Source organism: Homo sapiens, chromosome 21 (assembly GCF_000001405.40).
Source record: "Homo sapiens chromosome 21, GRCh38.p14 Primary Assembly".
Taxonomy (NCBI): domain Eukaryota; kingdom Metazoa; phylum Chordata; class Mammalia; order Primates; family Hominidae; genus Homo; species Homo sapiens.
The window spans coordinates 22,098,599-22,116,770 of record NC_000021.9 but is presented as its reverse complement, the minus strand read 5'-3'; the positions used below and the strand labels follow the sequence as shown (position 1 = coordinate 22,116,770).

At 34.5% G+C, this 18,172-nt stretch overlaps 1 long non-coding RNA gene across 1 annotated transcript; it reads right to left on the bottom strand.

The window, feature by feature from the left end:
- Positions 1 to 242: 242 nt before the first annotated feature.
- Positions 243 to 18,154, bottom strand: LINC00308 (long intergenic non-protein coding RNA 308). The gene is made up of 6 exons (NR_038400.1): positions 18,059 to 18,154; positions 7,218 to 7,325; positions 4,945 to 5,000; positions 1,873 to 2,011; positions 1,659 to 1,793; positions 243 to 435 (listed from the first exon to the last, which is right to left on the bottom strand). It is a non-coding gene; the product is annotated as a long intergenic non-protein coding RNA 308 (long non-coding RNA).
- Positions 18,155 to 18,172: the final 18 nt, after the last annotated feature.

Here is an 18,172-nt window from a genome sequence, read left to right as displayed (position 1 = left end):
TGATAATTATTTACCCAGTGTTCAGTGAATCAGTCAGTGACTGTGGTTTTAGTGGTGGTGGGTTAAAACCAAGAATAAATGTTTGGAAAATGAAAATTATCAGGAGCATCTCCATCCAGCACTCAATTCAAAAATAATCACAAACATGGTGCGTTCACTGTGTGCTTTGATTCCACCTTGTTTATTAAAGTGCACTTGTGTAATTATAATCTACTTTACAAATTTTTATTTTACAATCATTTATACGCATCATTCCTTTATTCAGTCCACTTATTCTGCTTCAGGGTCACAGGTCGCAGGAGCCTCTCCCAACAGCTCAGGGCACAAGGTGGAAACCAGCATTGGACAAGACATCATCTTATCTCAGGTACACACACACAGACATTCACTCCTCCTGGGATGATGTAGACATACCAATTCACTTAAAGTGTACACCTTTGGGATGTGGGAGAAAACCCAATTACTTGGAGATATTTGAGAACCTGCTATATAAACTCTTCTTATGCTACATAAAATAGGTAATACCTAGAATTTATCAAAATTAACTCTAACTAGATATTAATTTAGTCATTTCTAAAGTCTTAGTGGGTTGCATAAAGCAGTGCTGTCAACTGGTGATATAAAGAAAGTTTTAGGCCATACTCCCTTTCCCACTGTCACCAGTGGTATCAATTTTGTCTACATTTTTTCTCTCTGGCATGTTTCTGCAGTTTTCCTTCTATTAACTTCTTTTCTCTTCAAGACTGCCCATAGTCATTAACAAACATGTTCTTATTGCGGAAATAGAAGAAAGATAAATATGCAGTGTGATCTCTACCGCTTAATCAAATATTTGTCATTATTCAGGGTACTTGGAGACATTTTCAGCTGTTGAAACAGCTGCAAACTTAGGGATTTCCAATGGAAGCAAAGAGAGAGAGATTGATACTCAGATATAGTAATGTAAAATACTCTCATTTTACTAACAAAAAATTAAAACTCAGAGCACTGGTTGACTTAGCAAATGTCATCCATATATGTTGGGGAAAAGTGAATACTTGAACTGGTATGCTGACAAGACAGTGCTTTCCATTCGGATTTTCACATGTATGTCCCTGCAATATAACTTTGCCTATTTTTCAAGATATTTTCTAGCCCTTCTTTTAAGAGGTAAGTACAAGCTGGGCTCGGTGGCTCATGCCTGCAATCCCAGCACTTTGGGAGGCCGAGGCAGGTGGATCACCTGAGGTCAGGAGTTTGAGACCAGCCTGTCCAACATGGAGAAACCCCATCTCTACTAAAAATACAAAAATTAGCCGGGTGTGGTGGTGCATGTCTGTAATCCCAGTTACTCGGGACGCTGAGACAGGAGAATTGCTTGAACCCATGAGGTGGAGGTTACAGTGAGCCGAGATTGCGCCATTGCACTCCAGCCTGAGCAACAAGAGTGAAACTCCTTCTCAAAAAAAAAAAAAAAAAAAAGAGGTAGGACCAATTTCTTCTTTCTATGATATGATATATATTTCTTCTTGCTATAAGTTCTATGATTATATTATTTTTGCTTATGTATTATGAGATAATAAATTAAGATCTCAGTAATTTTAAATTTCTAGAATTTTATATTATTTTAGTCATTTTTGGGAATGACAGAATCTTTCACTCACATTTCTGCTTAATACCTTTAGTGGATGAAATAGCCATCCTCTTTCCACAGGCTGGGAGACACTTTTTTCCTTGTATTCTTCCTCTACTCGCTTCTGCAGTGGCGTGAGGGTATCTGAATAAACAGCCTAACACTCATCGTTGCTTATTCACTGGAGAGTGGGAAGAAACCCTAAATTAAAGGGAGGGACCCAGCTGAAATTTCCTCATTCTCTTTTCGCATTTTCTCACCTCATGCAGCAAGCACAAATGGTTAACCTTGCTCTCCACATACAGTCCTTCAGAATCCCATTCATTTATTTAGCTGCTCATGTAAGTGGACTTGCAGTGGACAGAAGAGTTCTCCTTCAGCATCAGGCCCAATTTCTCTCTCCAAAAAGTATCAAGAAAACATTTTAGGAGGTACGGGGAGAAGTACCATCTATATAAAGCTTTACTACCTTTCCCAGTTTGTTAAAGATGTTTAAATCCACATTATCAGTGAAATCACCAAAGAGGAGGAGATGTACGTTGTACCTCAACCCCACAGCAATATGATCCTGGCAGCAATAATGCAACATGGGTTTGCCAGACATTATTATAGTTTATATTTTGCTAATGAGGAAATGGAAATGATACAACTAATCAAAACATACCCAAGACTCAGACCCAGTCCTTCTCATTTAAAATCTGCCTCTTATCCCATATAGAAAAACATAATTATTAATTTTCATATTAAGCTTAGGAAATTTAAAAAGTACTAATTGGGTCTTAAATTTGCAAAGGTATCTTTCAAGTCTAAATTTTCATTCTGCTCATATGCATAAACTTCCACTATATATGTGTGTGTTTGTGTGTGTGTGAGTGTATATATATATGTATACACACTTCTCCTATCCTCATGTCCTTATGCAGTTTTCTTGGCTTGGAATGCTTTGCTTTATCTATTCAAGGTTCATTTTAAATTTTGGGATTTTTCTTTTTTTAATTTTAGTTTTTATTTTTTTTCTTGATTTCTTCTAAAATTAAAAACCAGGATACATGCGCAGAACGTGCAGGTTTGTTACACAGGTATATGCACGCCATGGTGGTTTGCTGCATCTATTGACCCATCCCATAAGTTCCCCTCCCCTCACCACCCAACCCCCACAGGCCCTGGTGTGTTGTTCCCCTCTATGTCCATGTGTTCTCAATGTTCAACTCCCACTTATGAGTGAGAACACGTGGTGTTTGGTTTTCTGTTTCTGTGTTAGCTTGCTGAGGATGATGTCTTCCAGCTTCATCCATATCCCTGCAAAGAACATGATCTCATTCCTTTTTATGGCTGCATAGTATTCCATGGTGTATATATATCACATTTTCTTTACTAAGCCTATCATTGATGGGTTGGGATGCCTATTGTAATCACATAAACATACATTAAGAACTAAATAACAAATCATTTATCTCACATGTATTCAAGATTTCATGATATTATGAATTTGAAGTAAAATATTAAGTTCTATACCACCCTTTTTATTATGTATAATCAGTATTAATAATACAAAATGAAGTCATAACTGTAAGTATTTTATATCTAACATCTTTCAAAGTAACTTTAAGATATGTAAAAAAAAGAATAAAAGTTCAATGCTCAGAAGCTGACACAGAATTTAAGACAGACTTAGATTTCACAGAGTAGTAATAATATCAGGTACTCAAAATCAAACATATGGAGTCCCAAGGAAATTTGTCTTGTCTCTTTAGATCACCACTTTCCTTTTCAGAGGCATAAACAATATCTCATTCATCTAGATTGCCAATATATTATACAAATACATTCTAAGATATTTTAGACATAAGAAATACACTAGTGTAAAATCCATATTGCAGTGTGATAAAGATTTGGTCAGAAGTCAATTTTTTTAAAGGTTGCACCAGAAAATAAGAATATATACACCATGCAATACTATGCAGCCATAAAAAGAATGATATTATGTCTTTGTTTTTTTTTTTTTTTTGATATGGAGTCTCGCTGTGTCGCCCAGGCTGGAGTACAGCAGCGTGATATTGGCTCACTGCAACCTCTGCCTCCCGGGTTCAAGTGAGTCTCCTGCCTCAAGCCTCCTGAGCAGCTGGGACCACAGGCATGTGCTACCACACCCGGCTAATTTTTGTATTTTCAGTAGAGATGGGGTTTCTCCACATTGGCCAGGCTGGTGTCTAATTCCCGACCTCAGGTGATCTGCCCACCTCGGCCTCCCAAAGTGCTGGGATTACAGGCGTGAGCCACCATGCCCGGCCAATATTATGTCTTTTGCAGAGACATAGATGGAGCTGGAAGTCATTACCCTTAGCAAACTAACACAGGAACAGAAAACCAAATACCACATTTTCCTGCTTATAAGTCGGGGCTAAATGATGAGAACACATGAACACACAAAGGAGAGCAACATGTGCTGTAGACTTTAAGAAGGTGAAGGGTGGGAAGAGGGAGAGGATTAGGAAAAATAACTAATGAATACTAGGATTATTACACGAGTGATGAAGTAATCTGTGCAACAAATCCCCATGACTCAAGTTTACCTGTGTAACAAACCTGCACTTGTACACTGGAACTTAAAAGTTAAAAAAAAGAAAGATTACTACTAAAAGCTGAGTCAAGGTAAAGTTGATTTTTTTTATTGTCGATTATTTTGGCTTATTTCTGATAGACAAGTTCTGAACTTGTTAGAAAATACAAAAGGCCACATATATAGGTGAAGTTGTAAGATGCTTGGCAGAGAAAATAACATTTGGTAGCACTGACCGTGTTTTTAAAGTTCTCAGTTTATGTCAAAAAATTTCAAGTGAATACCTCTAGAGCTTTTCTGTGTACTGCAACTGCTAGCTACATGTGGCTATTTGAGTTTAAATTAAATGAATCTAAAAATCCAATTGTTCAGTCCACTAGCCTCTTTTAATAGCCATATTGGCCTGGTGGATAACATAGCACAACGAAGATGTAAAATGTATCTTTCCTCACAAGAAGTTCCATTGGTCAACAGAAGTCTAGATAGAGAGATGAGTGAATATATGGAGTTTGGAATAAAGTATAGCTAGATAAAAAATACCTGCTACAGGCACAAAACCAAGTGTCCCTTTGGTATTCTACTTTGTACATGTGAGATATTCAGGCATCCCTGATAAAGAGGCCTCTGAAGACAGCTCCAGTTTATCCCTAGAAAAACCTTGTACTTTTGATGTGTTACATACAGAGGATACAATATCTTGCAACTTTATGAAATTCTTTCCTTGGATTCATTGCTTTGAGGATCTTTTTCATTGTCTTTGAGGTATTCTTACCATAAGAAGAATGAAAACTAAAACAAGCTTCAGGTGCTTTTTTGGGACTGGGCTGTCTGCATTGAAAAAGCATAGGTTTGGTTGTATTAGGACAATTTTTCTCCATAGAGTTTTTTTTCATACTCTTTTACTTAGCATTTATATTTTAATGTCTATGCAACTTAGGAAAAAACACAATGAATAAGTTGCCTAAAATAACTGGCAAAGTCAGAGAATATGATTGATTAGTGAATCATTTTGAAACAAAAGCAAGTTTAGTGTATAGGAGGGAGTTGGAATAAGGGAGATGACAGATAGCATTAATATTGTAGAAAAAAGAGGAAAGAGACACAATTTGCCATGTAATAGTTAAGATAATGATGATCTAGAAGGGAGATAAAATTCTGTCCTCTTAAAAAGTTTGAAGAATCTTATAATCAAAGACTCAGAAGAATCCTTGATATAGATGTTAACATCACCGAAGATGATTTCCAGGATCATGTAAAGAAAAAGCTTATACATCTCTATGTATACATCTTGACAGGGTCATACAAGACAATAGTAGATGGCTACGATAATTAAAAAGGGTGAGAGATGGCGGGGCGTGGTGGCTCACGCCTGTAATCCCAGCACTTTGGGAGGCCGAGGCGGGTGAATCACGAGGTAAAGAGATCGAGACCATCCTGGCCAACATGGTGAAACCCATCTCTACTAAATATACAAAAAATTAGCTTGGCGTGGTGGCGGGCACCTGTAGTCCCAGCTACTCGGGAGGCTGAGGCAGGAGAATGGCATGAACCCGGGAGGCGGAGCTTGCAGTGAGCCGAGATCACGCCACTGCACTCCAGCCTGGGTGACAGAGCGAAACTCTGTCTCAAAAAAAAAAAAAAAAAAAAAGGGTGAGAGACACAGGATATGAAGTTTAAATATTAATAAGGAAAGAGAAACACGGATTGATGATGTGGAATGGCACAGAGGAATAAGAACACAGTCAATGTTACAACTACTTTTAGTGGAAATCCAAGAGGAAAAAGGAAAAGCCCTCACAAAAAAAGCATCAGGGCCGAGTGTCTGAAAGAGAAATACATGCATATAGTATTTGCAGAAATAAGGGTAGATCAACATGGGTTACAGTGCAAACTATTGTACACAGAGAATAAGTGAAAGTAACTTTTTAATGAATGAAATAATAATTTGCATATAAAGAACTTATGCAAGTAAAGAGATGAGTTGATTTACATAGTGGTAGACGTGATGAGGGGTAATGATTGAAACACTTGATTAGGAACAAAATACATTCTGACATTTTAAGTCTAACTTACCCGACTGAAAAGAGAGGGTTTATTCTAAACTAGAATATGACCATCTGACTTAAATGATTATCTAATCTTCTGCCAGAGTTTAAAAAACTGTGTAAATTCAAATTGTCATCATGAGATAGGATGAACTCATTTACACAGCATGATATTTGCAAGCTAAAATTTTATTCAATCTTTGTGTCCCAGCTCAATTGTTTTCTCTTTAATAAGACTTGCTTTGATCCCTGTTCATGACTGGATTCATTTTGATATAAGGGGCATAGAACATCAAATTCTCCAAAGAAAAAAAGAAGACATAGAGAGGCAGACAGATGTCACAGAATTACAGAAATAAATGAAAAGCCAGACAGAGAAAGGGTAGGAATCAGGGTATTACTGAAAACAACAGGAAGAGACCATACAATATAACACCAGCATCTGAAATTAACATAAATCGACTGTACTCTACTTTTCTTCATCATTCTGTTTTACTTATTGATTCAGTTAACTGGGATAAATCTCAATTTATTTCCATGCAAAACCACAGGACACTGTCTAGTCAATGACTGATTTGACCATGTGTAAGAAGTAACTACACTGCACCATCCAGCATTGAATGGAGAAAGGAGATTATGAGGGACAGTGGTGCATTCATTGACACATTGTTCATTCATTTGAAACTCTTGAAAGAACAGATTATTTGAAAGAAGAGAAGAAGCAGAGCAGAAATTTCAAGAAAACTCTAAATTATCCCTGCCTAAAAGTTATCTTTCTTTTCTTTTTTCTTTTTGTTTTCTTTTGGTTGTTGTTTCAAAGACAAGGTCTTCCTTTGTTGACCAGGCTGGAGTGTAATAGTGTAATCCTAGCTCACTGCAGTCTCAAACTCCTGGGCTCCAATAATCCTCTCACATCAGCCTCAAGAGTGGTTAGAACTACAGGCATGTGCCACCATGCTCAGCCAATTTTTAATTTTTTATAGAGACGAGGTCTTCTTACATTATCCAGGTTGGTCTTGAACTCCTGGCCTCAAGCAATCTTTCCACTTGGCTTCCCAAACAGCTGAGATTAAAGACATAAGCCATCTTGCCTGGCCATGTTTCTTATCTGAAATGTAGTAGGACTTTATTTATACATACAGCAACTGATACACTTATCAAAGCTTCCCCCATTATAGTAATGAAAGCACATATCTGTCTTTATAAATGTACGTTCCTTGAGGTAAGGTCAATGATGTATCCTTTTAATGTCTTCCCCACTCTCCTTTGGTGACTTCTCATTTTTTAACCAATTGGTGAGTGGTTAAATATGTGACAGAAGACTCAGTCCTTTGCTTTTCTCTAAACACATTCACTCTCAATATGACCCCATATCTCCATGTCTTTAAATATAAAGCTGATGGTGCACATACCTCTTCTGTAAATTCAGCCTAACTATCTTTAAAAACCTTCAAAATTTCAGTTTAGATGTCAAGAAGCATCTCAAAGTTAACATGCCACTAACAGTTGGCTTAGAATCTTTTCTCCCCAATCTGTCTTGTTCTTTGGTATTTTCTGTTTCAGCAACTGATACCATCAGTTGACCCTGTGGCTAAAACCAAAAACCTATGATTCTATCATGACACCTTTCTTTTTCTAATACTGTGGTATAAATCCCAGTATTTAACCTATCAGAAAGTTCTATATTCAAAGTCATATTTTCAATCCAACCATTTTTCTCCACCTGCAATCCTAAATTTAAGCAAGATTGCCTGTTGTCTAGTCCAGTGGTCTTCTGTCTGCCCTCCTGAATTCTACTCTCCCCCTTTTCTGTCAATACCCAGAAAGTTGACAAACTGAGCCTCCAAAAAGTAGAAATCAGATTGGACTATGGACTGCTTTCTAAATATCTCTCAGACTTACCCTGGTTTATTATCTCTATATGATCAGGTTATTTGCCAATTTCTGACATTATCTCACTTTTTAATGTTCATATATCTATTACTTAAATATATTTTACAATATTTAACATATGATTAGGCTTATTTGGATGTAAACATTGAGCTGCATGTAAAAATGCTATTGTTTCACATTTTTAATATTCTCATGAATACATTTACCTCTTGTCATGTTATTAACATTTTGATGAGCTGTGCTTGATCACTGAGCAATTCCCACCTGTTAAAGATAATTTCTGTAGGAGAGAACACAGTCTGCTGTCCAGCAGTTACTTACACTTGTCTTCCCTTCTAAAATGAAATCTTTTGTTGTAGTCATATCTCAGTAACATGTTTCTTTTAATTTTATATATTAGTTCAATTGTTACTTGAAATTGATGGTAGGTAATGACAGAGATGCTAAAATTTTGGTCACAATATATTTCTTAAAATCTTTGGGCACCATCTACATTTATAAAATATTTTTGACATGCGACTTTTCTAAACATAACATTCACAATAGTAATGATGAAAAATCTGATAACCTTCAGGTTATAGTTTGAAAATTAATGGTGCAATGAACAGTTTCTGAGTAAGTATACCAGATTTTAAATAAATGTTGTATATTTATGAGAAGAATTTGGTGTCGGAAAATAAATACAACAGCTGCTTTTTAATGTTATGTAGAAATTATGATTCTAATCTGTTACATTTAATAGCACAATACATTTGAAAGAATGTACTACTAAGTATTCATGTTACTAAGCATTTTTGCACAATAAGCTTCACCAAAATAACTCACACTTTATGTTTTTGAAAATAGATTGGCATTTTTTTAGTGAGTTCCTTTCTTTCTCTAACATGTGCCACTGTCAAATAACCTTGGGCTTGGTTAGAGGAAAGATTTCCACTTTTGTTTCTTAACTCTTCAAGTTAGCCATCCATATCTCTGTACTACAGGTAAAACGTTTTTCCTCTGAGAAGTGACACATCAAGGGTAGACACCAGGGATTAATGCCCCCTTTGCTTAAATACTTTAGTGAGAGAATACAATCACCATTGCTAGAATAAACAGCAAATCTTACTACGTTAAGACTGCATTGTAAATGTTGGCACTATTGACAATAGAACTATCCATGTATAACTTTTGTGGTTATGGTATTAACATACTTTGTTTTACATGGGTAATAAATTTCATTTATTTATTAGGGAATATTGCACATATTCCTTAAAAATTCCAAGATAAATATTCATCACTATTTATAATCTAGGTCCAATAAAAACTTATTGTAAAATGTTATCATTTTAGGAATCTTTTCAGGGCTATTAAAATCAACCAAAGGTATTCAACAAATTGGGAAGTATTACTTATTTAAAATGACTCAACATTGAGTAAGAGCAGGAGCAGTCTGACATGTTATTACCTGGGTGAACTGCTATTTTCTACCCAGATCTATGGCATGGTACTTTAACTAGAACAGGCTGTCTGTAAAAATCAATAGCTTCATAAACAGAGGAATGTAACTTGATTTGAACATCTGATAGTTTAGTTTCCAAAATATATAAGAAACTCAATAGCAAAAAAAAAAATACCCTGATTAAAAATTAGAAAAAGGTGTACATAGACATTTCTCAAAAGAAAACATACAAATGGACAACAGGAATACTAAAGAATGTTCACTATCACTAAGCATCAAAGGAATGCAAATCAAAACCACAACGAGATATAATCTCACACCTGTTAAAACGGCTACTCTCAAAAAGACAAAAGGTAACAAGTATTGGAAAGAATATGGACTAAAGGGAATCTTTGCATACTGTTGGTGAGGATGTAAATTAGTATAGTCATTATGGAAAACAATATGGAGGTCCTTCATATAATAAGAATAGGATGAATGTAAATTCCAGCAATACCACTTGTGGATATATATTAAAAGAACTGAAGTCAGGACCTCAAAGAGTTACCTGCACTCACATGTTTATTGTAGCGTTATTCATAATAGCCAAGGTATGAAATCAATCTAAGTGCCCATCAAGGAATAAATGGATAAAGAAAATGTGAGACACATACACATACACACACACACTGGAATATTATTAGTGTTAAAAAGAAATAAATACTACTATTTGTCACAAGGTGGATGAACTTGAAGAACATTAGGCTAAGTGAAATAAGACAGTCACAGAAAGACAAATATGTTATGATCTCACTTATATGTGGAATCTAAAAAAGTTGAATTTACAAAAGCAGAGAATAGAGTGGTGGTTGCCAGGGGCTGGGAGTGGGAGTATTGCTGAGATGTGAGTCAAAGAGCACAAAGTTTCAGTTAGGCAGGATGAATAAGTTCTGGAGATCTAATGTATAGCAATGGTGACCATAGTTAATAACACTGAATTGTATATTTGAAATTTGCTAACAAATTAGATCTTAAATGTTCCCACAATACACACACACAAAGATACATGTAGAGTGATAGATACATCCATTCACTTGATTGTGTTAACCATTTTACAGTGTATACATAGATCAAAACATAGCATTGTACAGGTATTCCCCATTTTATTGTGCTTTGCTTTATTGCACTTCTCAGATATTGTGTGTTTTACATATTGAAGGTTTGTGACAATTCTGTGTATAACAAGACCATCAGCTCCATTGTTCCAACAGCATGTGCTCACTTCATGTCTCTGTCACATTTTAGTAATTCTCACCATATTTCAAACATTTTTGTTATTATCATATCTGTTACAGTAATCTGTGAGCAGTGATCTTTGATGTTACTATTTAATTGTTTTAAGGCACCACAAACCATGCCATGTAAGGTAGTGAATTAATTAATAAATGTTATATGTGTTCTGACTGCTCCATCACCTGGTTGTGTCTTTATCTGTCTTTCTCTCTTCAATTCTCCCTATTTCCTGAGAAAAATACAATATTAAATTTAAGCCAATTAATAATCCTACAATGGCTCCTAAGTGTTCAAGTGAAAACAAGAGTCACATGTCTCTCACTTTAAATTAAAAGCTAAAAATGATTACACTGAGTGAAGAAAGCATGTGAAGAAAACATGATTAAGCTTGGCGAGGAAGGCTGGGAAGGACAACATTTAGGCATCACATACCAAAGAGTTAGCCAAATTGTGAATAGAAAGAAAATTTTTTGAAGTAAATTAAAAGGGCTCTATCGGTGAACACACTAATAATAAGGAAATAAAATAGTCTTATTACTGATAGTAAAAAATGCTTTAGTGGTCTGGATAAATGATTCTGGAAACCATCCAGAACATTCCATTCAGCCAAGCCTAATCCAGAGCAAGGCACTAAGTTGCTTCAATTCTATGAAGGCTCAGAGAAGTTAGGAAGATGTGGAAGAAAAATGTGAAGCTGGCAAAGGTGGATCAGTGAGGTTCATGGAAAGCAGTTGTATCTACAGCATAAAATCCCAAGATGAAACAGCAAGTGCTGATGTAGAAGCTACAGCAAATTATCTGATGAATTAGTTAAGATAACTGATGGGAGATGAACCAATAGCTAGACTACCAAGAAATGAAGACAGAAGACCCAAATAAACAAAATCAGAAATGAAAAGAAGATATTACAAATGATGCCACAGACATACAAAGGATCATCAGAGACTTTTGTGAACAACTATATGCTGACAAACTGAAAAACCTAGAGGAAATGGGTAAATTTCTGGAAACATACAACCTACCAAGATTGAATCAGAAAGAAATAGAAAACCTGAAGAAGCCAAAAATAAGTAGCAAGGTTGAATCAGTAATAGAAAGTCTTGCAACAAAAACGACCCATGAGCAAGTGGATTCACAGCTGAATTCTACCCAAATGTACAAAGAACTGGTATACCAATCCTCCTGAAACTGTTCCAAAAACTGAATAAAAAGTATTTCTTCCTGTCATGGTTTTTGAGGCCAGTATCATCCTGATACCAAAACTAGACAAGGACACACACAAAAGAAAAATATAGGCCAATATCCCTGATGAACATTAACACAAAAATCAACAAAATACTATCAAATGGAGTCCAACAACACATCAAAAAGATAATACACCATGATCAAGTGGAATTTATACCAAGGATGCAAGAATGGTGCAATATATGCAAATCAACAAATATGATATATCTCATCAACAGAATGAAGGCCAAAAGCCACATAATTATCTCAATAAACACAAAGAAATAATGTAATAAAATTTGACATCCTTTCAAAACAAAAACTCTCAACAAACTTGACACAGAAGGGATATGCCTCAAAATAGTAAAGGTCATATACAACAAACCCACAACCAACATTATACTGAACAGAAAAAGATGAAAACATTCCAGCTAAAAACTGGAACAAGACAAAGATGCAAACTTTCACCTTTCCCATTCATCATAGTACTAAGTCCTAGCCAAAACAATTGGCAAGAGCAATAAATAAAATGCATACAAATTGGAAAAATAGGAAAGGAAGTTCAATTATCTTTATTCACTGATGATATAATTTTGTACCTAGAAAATCCTGAAGTTTCTGCCAAAAGACTCCTGAACCTAATCAACGACTTCAGTAAAGTTTCAGGATTCAAAATCTAGTTACAAAAATCAGTAGCATTTCTGTACATAAATAATATAGCTAAGAAAGAAATCAAGATGACAGTACCATTTACAACAACTACACTAAAGTAAAATACCCAGAAATAAATTTAACCAAGAAAGTGAAAGATCTCCACAAAGAAAACTGCAAAAACGGATGAATGAAATTGAAGATGACACAAATAGAAAAATATCCCATGCTCATAGATAAGAAGTATCAATATAATTAAGATGACCATACTGCCCAAAGCAATCTACAGATTCAATAAAATCCCCATCAAAATACCATAATTTTTCACAGAATTACAAAAAATTCTAAAATTTATATGGAAGCAAAAAGACCCCAATAACCAAAACAATATTAAGAAAAAGATCAAAACTGGCATCACGTTATCTGACTTCATAATATATTACAAAGCTATAGTAATCAACATAGTATGGTATTGGTAAAAAGATGCACAGACCAATTAAAAAGAATAAAGAACCCAGAAATAAAGTCATATATTTACACTCAACTGATCTTGACAAAGCTGACAAAAACTTACATTGGAGAAATAAACCCTTCTTTAATAAACAGTGATGAGAAAATTAGATAGTCACATGGAGAAGAATGAAACTGGACCCCTATCTCTTACCGTACACAAAAATCAATTCAAAATTGATAAACAACTTACATTTAAGACCAAAAACTATAAAACTACTAGAAGAAAAAACCTAGTGCAAACTATCATGGACCTTGGTCTAGGAAAGAATTTATGACCCAGACCCCAAAATCATAGGCAACAAAAACAAAATAGACAAATGGAACTATTTTAAGCCAAAAACCTTCTGCACAGCAAAGGAAACAATCAACAGAGTAAAGTGACAGCCTATTGAATGGAAGAAATATTTGCAAACTATTCATCCAATGGGAGACTAATATCCAGAATGTATGAGGAATTCAAACAACTCAACAGGAAAATATAAATAATCTCATTAAAAATTGGAGACAAGACATGAAATGGTATTTCTCAAAAGAATACATACAAATGGACAGCAGGTATATGAGAAAATTTTCAACATCAATGAAGAAACACAAATCAAAATTATAATGAGATGTGTTATTAATCCAGTCAGAATAACTATTGTAAAAAGGCAAAACAATAACAGATGTTGGTGTGGATGTGGAAAAAGAGAAACGCTTATACACTGTTCACATAAATATAAACTTGTACAGCCACTGTGGAACACAGCATGGAGATTTATCAAAAAACCTAAAGATAAAATTATTGTTCAATCCAGTAATCCCACTATTGGATATCTACCCAAAGGAAAATAAAGCAATATATCAAAGGACACCAGCACTCACATGTTTATTGCTGCACTATTCACAACAGCAAAGATATAGCATCAACCTATATGTTTGTCAATGGATGGATGAATAAAATGTGGTGTATATATACAGTGGAATACTTTTCAGCCATAAAAAAATGAAATCGTCATTTGCAGCAACACGGATGGATCTGGAGATCATTATCGTTAGTAAAATAAACAAGGCACAAAAATACAAATATGGCAAGTACTCACTAGTATGTGGGAACTAAAATCTAGTTGATCACATGGAGGTTAAGAGTGGAGAAATACTTAACAGAGATTGGAAAGGATGAGTGAGAGCTGGGATGATGAAGAGAACTGGCTTAAAGGGTACTAAATGTAGGAGAAAAAGCAAGAGAACTAGATGTGACTGAATTGCTGCAATTTCATGATAAAAGTTGAACGAATGAAGAGTTGTTTCTTATGGATAAGCAAAGAAAGTGGTTTCTTAAGGTGAAATCTGCTCTTGGGGAAGATACTGTGAACATTGTTGAACTGACCACAATGGATTTAGAATACTTGTATGGTAAATATATACAATTTTTATTTATTAATAAAGCTGAGGGGAGAAAAATCATATAATTGAGTCCAGAGACATTGAATAAAGACATTTTCAGATAAGGAAAAAAGAAATAATTTATCACTGGCAGAGCTGTTTACCAGAAATATTAAAGTGGGAACTTTAGGCTGAAAGGAAATATCACCAGGTAATAATACAAGTATATGCAAATACAGAGAAAGCACCAAAAATGCAAATATTTAGGTAAATATAAAAGTCCATATACTTCTTTTAAGTTCTTTATAAATAATAAAATTGTATACAATAATTATTTTAAAAATAAGTTTATAACATATATAGATGTAATGCACAGGCATAACTCATATTGTGCTTTGTTTTGTTGTGTTTTAAAGATATTGTGTTTTGTTTTTTTCACAAGTTGAAAGTTTATGGCAAACTTGTGTAGAACAAGTCTATCAACACCATTTTCCAACAGCATGTGCTTACTTTGTGTGTCTGCACAAAGAGATTTTTTAGCAATAAAATATTTTTCAATTATGATATGTACATTGATTGTTTCAGACATAATGCTTGCATAGTTAATAGAATACATTATAATGTAAAAATAACTTTGATATGCACTAAGAAACAAAAAACTTGGTGTGACATGCTTTATTGTGATAAGAGCTTTATTGCAGTGGTGTCCAACCAAAGCCTCAATATCTCAGAGATATACCTGTGTGTGACAATCATAGCCGAAAGTTGAGGAAGATGAAATGGAGCTATATTGAAGCAAATTCTCCATAGTTTAAGGAATTAAAGCTACTATTATTCTTAAATTGAATGCTATAATTTGAAGTTCATATTGTTGTTCCTAGAGCAATCACTAACAAAATAAATCACAGGGACAAGATGGCCACCTATAAGCCAAGAAGGGAGGCCTCAGAAGAAACCAACCCTCCCTACACCTTCATCTCAGACTTGCAGCCTCTGGAACTGTGACAATAAATTCCCGCTGTTTAAACTACTCAGTCTGTGGTACTTTGTTATGACCACCCTATACACAATACAGTCACCTAATAAGATTCTGTTGTAGCATTATAAATGCATCAGTCAGTTCTGAAATGGTTAAAGAATTATAAGCATCAAAAGAAACAAAGTCCTGAATGATTTCAAATCATAACATGAATAGAAAATCCCCAATTAAAAAAAAGTAAAAGAAAATAAATCAAAAAGTATAGTGGATTTGAATAGCTCTTTCTTCAAAGAAGAATTATATATGGCTAATAATCATATAAAAAATGCCCAACATCACTATCCACTATGAAAATGCACATGAAAACAAGAAACACCACTTCTCAAACACTAGAATGGCTTTAATAAATAGGCAAAAGACAACTTATGCTTATATATTATTTTTCCAAAAATGTCTCAAGTATATGATTCTGTAACTTTTTCTTTTAATGAACACTTCTATACAAACTTAGCTCTCAAACATAAAATCAAAAGGCCAAATCCAATTGAATAAATTCACTGCAATTGCCAGTTCCATCCTTTTGGAAAGTTCTGTAAGTTTAAGTGATTACATGTGAATTCATCAGGTTGAAATTTCAGTTTTTACAACCACTTACTTATATTCAAAGGGCTTCCAATTTGAGTCACCATTATCATTAATAATAGTACTATAGGGATGTGGAGATAATTACCATCAGTCTCCCTTATATGGAAAGTTATTGCTTGTATCTGAGATGGAACATATAAACTTCCCTCTCAATTTGTGCCTTTTTCAGAAGCAGGAAAGAATCAGTAGTCAATGTGCTTTATAGGGTACAGGAATATTATAAGTCTTGGTTTATTCAAAAACTCAGCCGCAAAAATTCAATTCTAGTAAGATAATCAGATCATTTATCTCCATATCTGGCACTTACTGTCTATAAGATAAAATCTTATTCTCCTTTAAATGTTAGTTAACTAGATTTTCATAATTTTTATGTAAATCTGGAAATTATGAAGAAAATACTAGGAGTTGTAGATAATTTTTGAGGAAGGAGAGAGAGGGTTTTCTTGCTGATTATTCCCAAATCTTTTTCAAACATGTACACATGGCAGTCTCAACTAAATTCAGGTAAGTGTTGGGTAGGAACATTATTTATTATTTTATTTTCCTTTCAAAATGCTAGGCTGTGCAGAGATACTTTCATAAACTGAGGAATTGTATGATGATTCATCTCAGAAGATTAAAAATTAATAAACTTGTTCTGAAAGAATCAGTATGAAGGGGCAAATCAGGCTTGTCCAATATTCCTCTAGTGTAGGGATTTGTAACCCTTTTCACACCAAAGACTGGGAAAATCCAGTGAAGCTTACAGGCTTGTTCTCAGTATATGATTTTTACTGAAGTAAAACATACATATCATACAATTTTCCACTTTTAAGGGTATAGTTTAGCAGTGTTAAGATCTCCAAAATGTTTTTATCATGCAGAATTGAAACTCTGTATGGATTAAACAACAAAGTTCCTTTCCCCCTGTTCCCAGCCCCTGGTAACAACTATTATGCTTTCTATATCTACACTGTAAATAGTGTTGCTATGAACATGCATATGCAAAGATCTCTTTGAGAACCTCACTTTTTGGGGGGTAAATACCCAGAAGTGTGATCGCTGATTATCGTATGATATTGGTATTTGTAATTTTTTGAAGGAAGTCAGTATTGTTCTCCATAAAGGTTGCACCATTTTACAATCCAACCAACAATGCACAAGGGTTTCAACTTGTCCATATCCCTGCTAACACATTTGTTACTTTCTGGTTTTGTTTGTTTTTTATGGTTTCTATCCCAATGGATGTGTGGTGATATCTCACAGAAAAATGAATTTCTCTGATGATTAGTGATACTGAGCATCTTTTCATGTTTGCTGGACTTTGCATATCATCTTTGGAGAAATGTTTATTCAAGTTTTTAACCTACTTTTAATTGGGTTACTTGAACTTTTGTTCTTGAATTGTAGGAGTTCTTTATATATGCTAGATATTAACCTCTTATCAGCTATGTGATTTACAAATATTTTCTCCCATTTCATGGGCTCTCTTTTTACTCTGTTCGTGATATCCTTTGACAAATGAAAACTTTTAAGTTTGATGAGGCCTCATTGGCCTATTTTTGCCTTTGTTTCCTGTGTGCTCACTGTAATTTTTATACATTTATAAAATAAAATACTTAGGATTACAAATAAATTTAATTATTTTGAAACATATTAGTCAAACTATAGAGATTATAAAATTCAGTTATGTATGTGATCATACTGACACATCAAATGATGAAGTCTTAAGGCTGGACTAATAAGTAGCAAAATATTGTGGTAGCTTTGATTTTAAATGTGAAGCAGGTTCACTCTGCACTGGTTCCCAACTTGCTTTTGTTTGATGAGATAGAACACCTATACATAATGAGTTATATGAAGTAGATTTATTACTTACAAATATACAGAAAGAGACAATAGAAGCCTAGTATTGCTTGTAAGCCAGACTGCCATGGATCAGGAAAGCTGCCCAGGGTAGACAGAGTCTTATCTGTGCATACCTTAATTGCAC